Source organism: Homo sapiens, chromosome 16 (assembly GCF_000001405.40).
Source record: "Homo sapiens chromosome 16, GRCh38.p14 Primary Assembly".
Taxonomy (NCBI): Eukaryota; Metazoa; Chordata; class Mammalia; order Primates; family Hominidae; genus Homo; species Homo sapiens.
Window position 1 is genome coordinate 65,179,623 of NC_000016.10, and position 7,409 is coordinate 65,187,031.

Sequence of the window (7,409 nt, forward strand, 5' to 3'; positions counted from 1 at the left end):
GGGTAGAAACAATGTATATAAAAGTGTGGAGGTATAAGAGAGTACAGGTGTCACCCTGTGTTTGAGTCCTAGAATGAGAAAGATGAGGCAAGGCGGGGTTGATCGGCAGGAAAGGGAGCAGAATACAATCTAAGCTGGCCGGGCGCAGTGGCTCATGCCTGTAATCCCAGCACTTTGGGAGGCCGAGGCGGGCGGATCACCTGAGGCCAGGAGTTCGAGACCAGCCTGGCCAACATGGTGAAACACCTTGTCTACTAAAAGTACAAAAAATTAGCCGGGCATGGTGGTGGGCGCCTGTAACCCCAGCTACTTGGGAGGCTGAGGCATGAGAATTGCTTGAACCCAGGAGGCAGAGGCTGCAGTGAGCCGAGCTCACGCCATTGCACTCCAGCCTAGGCAACAAGAGCAAAACTCCATCTCAAAAATAAATAAATAAATAAAATTTAATTTAAAAAAAGGAATCTAACCTGCACCCCATAGGTGCTGATGACTGATAAGCTCTTAAAATGTTCAGCCTTATCAAGTGATATGGCTTCAATATAAATAGTAACAGCTGTCTACTAAAGAAGGATTTTTCAAAGCCTGGAATACAAAATACCGACAGTATTAAAGAAGAGTGTTCACGGTAGTATGAGCACATGACGTTAAATATTAGATAATGTAAACATGTAATGTTTTTAGTAATCAGTCCAGTTAATATATTTATTGGTAATCTGTCTTTAACATCTATCTAAAACCTTCCAACCTCCCTTTAAACAACAACAGTCACAAAAGAGTAAGCATCAGGCTTAAGAGTCTTTCAGAAGCAGTAATTTCTTGCTTTGTTTTCTGTTCATTGTATGTATTTTAAAATGTATTTCACATTGTATTATATATTATATATACAATTGTATATAAGATGTTTGTTGTATGACATTTTACTTGTGATTGATAATGGTTTTTCACTTATGAGAGACATATGCATTTCCTTTATGAAAAAAATTTAAAATGTAAATTAATTTTAATAATGGAATTTTGGGAAATAACCAGCTAGCGTAAGAGGGAAAATGTAGGAAATTAACCTTGCCTAATTTCTCCAGGATCAGCCAATCCTAATCAATGCGACTTTGGTTTTAGCAGGAAAATCATTGAGTAGAACCAACTCTAGGCCTTGGTCTTGTTCAGGTGATTCTAGAAATTAAATCAACTTAAAGCACGAATGACTCGAGTTGGAGCATAGAGCTCACCGCAGGAAAGTGATTGCCCTCAAACCCTCTCCCATCAAAGTTCCCATGACCGTGACCACAGCAAAGAAGCCAGCCTGAGCTCTGGCCTTTTATTTAAAAATCCATTCCTGGAGTAGAAAGAAAATAACTGAAGATGTTTTGATTATTGGTATACCAAATCCTATTTGGGGATTGGTTTACTAGATTCAAAGAGTCACACCCAACCTCAATAAAAAGTTTTGTAAATCCATGCTTGCTAGCGTCCTTTGAAAAATAAACCCAAGAATAGTTTTATTCCAATACAGCACGCTCTCAGCACAAACATGTGGCAGATGCTAGAAACTTAGGAATCAAATCCAAATTGCAGACACACATGTTATTGTACTCCACAAGGGGGGGAGCAAACCCAGAATTGGCCTAATTTGAATATTTTTTTTTTCTGAATCCCGCAAATGAAACTACATATTTAGGAATTTTTTGCTCACATAGTATTTATAGTTATTTATGATTCCTTGAGATTTTGAAGCATTATAGCTTTGCACTAGGCTTTCCAACTTTTGTTTTTGTTTTCATTTCTCTTCTAAATGCCAAGTAGGCTGAAACCTATGCTGGAAAACCAGTGGGGATTAGATGTTTTTTAGGTCACAAGTTAGAAGATTCCTAATACTCACAGACATTCTACGTCTAGGAATGTTTGTTAATTTGAGCCCCTCTCTCTCCTTGTGTATCTTTAATCTCTCAACCAGCTGTCTCCCATAAAAAGATATTTCTGTTTTTAGTTACAAATCTGTTTACAGATAAAACTCACTCATAAATACACAACCACATGCAGAGGTTGCCTTTTTTTTTCTGCTGATAGTATAGAAATAACTCCAGATGAAAAATATTAAAGTTTGTTTAGAAATATAAAATGCATTCTGCCTTTCTCAGTGGGGGCCCATGTTTTATAGATGTTCAAGGTCTTTTTGTGTCCCTGTGTGAGCCTCTCTTGGGAAGCACAATCTTCTCTTACCTCTGTGATTTAGTTCTTTCTCAAACTGTCAAAATTGTTGGGTTCCTAATTGAGGAATTAACTCCTTGCAAAAGGCAGGTATTGGCCACCTAAGGAAAAGAGGTGAAGCCAAGAAATAGCTTCTCGTGCATCAGGATCAGTATGTTTACTGTTACTCGAATGACCGATTTAACTCCCCACTCTTATTTGCTTGTGGGTTGCTTACACTGGAAACCGTCAGGTAAGAGATTGTGTTTTCTTCTCTTGTCTTCTTCCATTTCTTTTAAGACCTAGTACTGTGTCTGACACATAGAATTCAGTCGATTTTCAAATATATTGTTTGCTGTTAATTGAATTAGTATAATCATGTTAGACAATAAATTATTCAGAAAAGAAAATATTTACACTTGGCTTCTTTCCCAGTTCTTTAGAGTTTAGGATGCCCTCTCTCCCTTGTATTCATCACCAATTAATTAGTCAAGAAGAGACCGTTCTAGTTCCTCCTTCCCTGGATTGGTTGTTGTATTCTGAGCAAACCTCTTATAACCATGCCTTGTTTTTCGTTGAAGCTCATTTTATAAAAGGTGATACAATGTATCATAATCGCCAGGTGTGGTGGCTCACACCTGTAATCCCAGCATTCTGGGAAGCTAAGGTGGGCGGATCACTTGAAATCAGGAGTTTGAGACTAGCCTGGGCAACATGGCAAAAACCCATCTCCTCTAAAAATAAAAAAGTTAGCTGGGCATGGTGGCAGGAGCCTGTAGTCCCAGCTACTTGGGAAACTGAGGCAGGAGAATTGCGTGAACCTGGGAGATGGAGGCTGCAGTGAGCCGAGATCGTGCAACTGCACTCCAGCCTGGGTGACAAGAGTGAGACTCCATTTCAAAGAGAAAACACTAACAACAACAACAACAACAAAAATGTAACATGATCCATCCAATGAACACTAGCAAATGAAGACCGATACTTTGTCAACCATGTAAAATAGCTACTCATTGCTCCATTTTATGGTTGAAAAAATCGAGGTTCCTAGAACACGAATTACTCAGATTCACCAGACAGACTCCAGTATTTGACTTCAAATCATCAAATATTCCATCACTTGAGACTGCATCCTCTAACAAGAAGAATAGAAGGAATAACTTCAAGTAAATACTTCTGTGTGTCAAACTCCATAGTTGTCATTTTATTTGTCTTCCCTTATTGTATCTCACTAAAATCTGAATAGATCGGTATTAGTAACCCCATTTTGGAGCTAGGGAAATGAAGAATGAGATAATTTTTGCAAATTGCCCAAGGACATAGGACTAGCTCATGGATCCATGTTGCAGAGATCTCACCATTTTGGGAAGTGAGTGTCTTTGTTTAAGTACTATTAAATAGCTCAAGCACACTGAGAAGCCAAGGTAGGAACTATTTAATTTAGCATACATTTTCATTATAGTATTCAAAGATGCAACATGCCCTGAAGCATTAACCCTGGTTTTCAAATATTTCTATGTAGAGCTTCATGCTGCAGGTTCAAATCACCAGCTCTCAGCTAAAAATATAGCTGCTGTTTGGTGACTAGAAGGCCACTTTGACAATAATTGTGGTTGCAAGAGGTCACACATTCTCCCTCTATCCCTATAAAGTCCTGTCTTCCAATATTCTAATCTTACTAACAATAAAACCAAGATCCTGGAGGAAAAGGCATTTGTTTAAAGTATCCCTCATGACCATTTATTCACCTGCCCAGATATACAAGTCAGAAAATTAAAAACCTGCTTTTCTATTTTTTCCCACAATCAATTGATTTTTTTTCCATAGGATTGCCTTCCTATGGGATTCCATTCTCAGTTTAATGATTACTCTCCATCCTCACTCTGATTTCTCTGTTTAAACATCGTATGTGTGCCTTGTGTATATATATATATACACACACACGCATAGGTTTTTGTATGTGTGTATATATATAGATATATACATACATACATATATTGTGTATATATATACACACAAACACATACACATATATATTTTTAAATTGTACGTGTATTATATAAGTATATATAGATTATATATATATATATATAATTTAAAAATCTGGACTACTATAACAACTTCTTAACTGGTGTTTTGTTTACTCCTGTCTATAATAACTTCTCTTCATCCTTCACAAAGGCTTCCAGAGTAAGAATGATTTCTTAAATATCATCTGATTGTTCCAGCACCTCCATGTCCATTTCACACATGGTGATTTCTTGTGTCTTAGGAGAGTAAGAAAAACTCTGGAGCAACAAGAGCCTTTTAATGTCATTCTCAACATCCTCACCTGACCTTATTCCCCATCACCACCCCTTATACTCCAAAGACTCCAGCTCTGCTGAATTTCCTAACACTTTCTACACAGCCCAGACCCTGTGGTTGCCTCTTTCACTTTGCACATTCCATTCCCTCTCCTGAATGAATGCCCTTTGAGGGTCAGAATCAGGTGGAAACTATGTCTCCCAATGCCCAGTGACTGCTGTTGGACTATGGTGCTCCAAGCAAAATTAAAAATGGAAGATTCTGTTAAAAAATGCTCTGAATGCTCATCAGAGTTGGGGGCAGCCCAAGACCATTTGCCATTTCCAGAGATAGATGCTGCAAGTGAAAAATGAGCTGACAAACTTAAAACTCTACAGAAACCACTGGGGAGAGGATCTGGCAGCTTAGCAAGCCAGGTTAATACCTGAATTACAAGGAGTTTGTGAGCACCCTCAGTTGCAGGACTCAGCTGTGAACAAAAGTCTCTGAGGTGGGCTTCAGGTGCCTGCCCTGCCACCACATGACTGTGAGCAACGGGCAACCTGGTTCTTTTAGACTCCATCAACCTCCAGGCTCTGGGGAATCACTTTTTTCCTATTTTAGTTTTTCAAAAGCATCCACTGGGTCTTTCCCAAGGCATAAAAGGGAACAAGAACAAAGGCCAGTAGCAATGCTTAGCTTGGCCTCAAGTCTACTTTGTTTCACAAATAAAAATTCCTGTTCTATCATTTTGTAGTAGTATGTCAAGCTTTGGCTTTCTCAAAATAATAGCTGATTAAAATCCTGAGCGATGAATGACAACAAAAACAGCATTTATTATATTTCATAAACTGAATACATCGCATACGTTGTTTTACTTATTCTTAATTTAAAAAAATAGGTAACATTTCCAGTTGAGGAAATGAGTGTTCAGATGGCTTACATAATTTAATCGAGTATATAGCTTGCCAGTTTATATAATTTACTCCAGGGTATACAGAGGCAGGATCTGAAGCCAGGTCACTGTGATCCATGCTCAGCCCACCTTCTCCCAACTATGTTAGTCTTTGTGCCTCCTCTGAAGCTTTCTGTAACAAATTTGGAACCTGAAAGATTTAAGCTAGGAGATAAGAGAGGCCAGAATATGAGTATTAACATTATCGTAGATGAAACCCTGGGCAACCCAGGGGGCCCTAGGCAGCTTGTCTGAGGTTCAGGTATCTCATCCAGGCTAGCTCTTAAAGCACATAGCTTCACTCTTTAATGGAACACACCCAAAATGCCCTTCGGTGACTTTCCAGCGAGTAAAATCTTAAGCACAGTGGGATGTCCAATGTCTTTTGAAGGTTTTGGCTGAGAGAGACAACATTCTTGGAATATGGCCTGGAGTATATTGAGTCCATCTATTCCTCTGAGGACTCTAAGTCAACTCTGGATTAAACCAGAGCATCAGCCATCAGCACTGTACCTGCAGATGATCACATTCTGTCCACCCATACCCACTACATTGTGCTCTGGAAGTCTTCTCCTGGCCTTTACTGGGAGCTGAGACAAGGTCAGGAGCCATGCCAAGAACCTGATTACTGGGTTTTCAGTTGGGATGCCATCAATGCATGTTTTGTTACTTTTGGCTGATGAGCATGTTTGAATCACATGAGACTCTCATTGCATTAAAAATCAGAGCTAGTTTTAATAATTCTGAATAATTAATTTTCTTGAAATTTATGGGTAATAGGAAGACTGAATCACATAGTTGATTCTTTATTTTCCTTTCTTCCTTTCTACCTTTCTTCTTTCTTTCCTTCCTTCCTTCCTTTCTTCTTTCCTTCCTTTCCTCTGTCCTTTCTTTCTTCCTTCCTTCATCCCTCCCTTTCTTTCTTTCCTTCTTTCTCTTTCTTTCTTTCTCTCTCTCTCTCTCTCCTTCCTTACTTCTTTCTTTTCTTTTCTTTCTCTTTCTCTTTCTTCCTCCTTTCTTTTCTTTCTTTGCCTGCCTGCCTTTTAAAATTGTGGCTAGAAACTTCCAGCTAAGTGTGAAATCCAACCTTAGCAAGTGTATGTGACCTTATTCCATTCAAAGTAAATGGGTTCCCTCTGCCCCAAGTCATGTTCTAGGACCTAAGGAAATCAATGAACAAAAACAAATATAGCTCTCACTTTCATGGTGCTTGGAGTCTAGGGGAGGAGAGGCACATTAACCCACATATTACACTCATGAATGTATAATAACCTATTGAGATAAGCACTGTAAAGGAAAGGAATATAGTCCAGGTTAAAACAAAGAGTCCTGATTTAAAGGAAGGGCTTCCCTGTGGAAATGGCACATGATTTAACTGGACAAATAGGGCATTGGAAATGGTGGGGCAGGGGTTGTATGTCATATGTTTCGTGGTGAGAGGGAACTGTAGGTTGGCAAAGGGCTTGTAGCAGAACAGAGTGTGGCTCATTGAGGAACCTGACAAAAGTCTCTGCAGTAAGAACTTGGAGGCTACAGAGTGAATGCTAGTAATTGGGCCTAAAGAAGATGGTGGAAGCCAGTACATGGTCTTCTTGTAAGTCTGGAGAAGCATTATCTTCTGAGGCCCCACCCCAGACCTACTGAGTCAAATCTTCTGCTGGAGGAGCTCAGCAATCTGAGTCTTTACAAGCAAGTTCTCTAACTGATCCTGGTGCCTGCCAAAGTTGGAGAGTCATGGCAGAGAGTGTTAGATAGAGAACAAGGTCCAGTGTGTCTGGGTGGAGTCAACATGGTGTGCAGTCAGCATCCTCAGACGACGACTAAGGCTGATAGAAGTTGGCAGATTGGAGAGGACTTGGGAGCCTCAGGAAGGCCTGTAGAGAGGAGGGTGAATAGTGATGTGGACTGATGTCTGGGTTCATTTTGTGTCTGTCCTTGTTTTCCCTTTGACTTGTCGTCTTTATCTACTTCCAATGTACGTTTATAT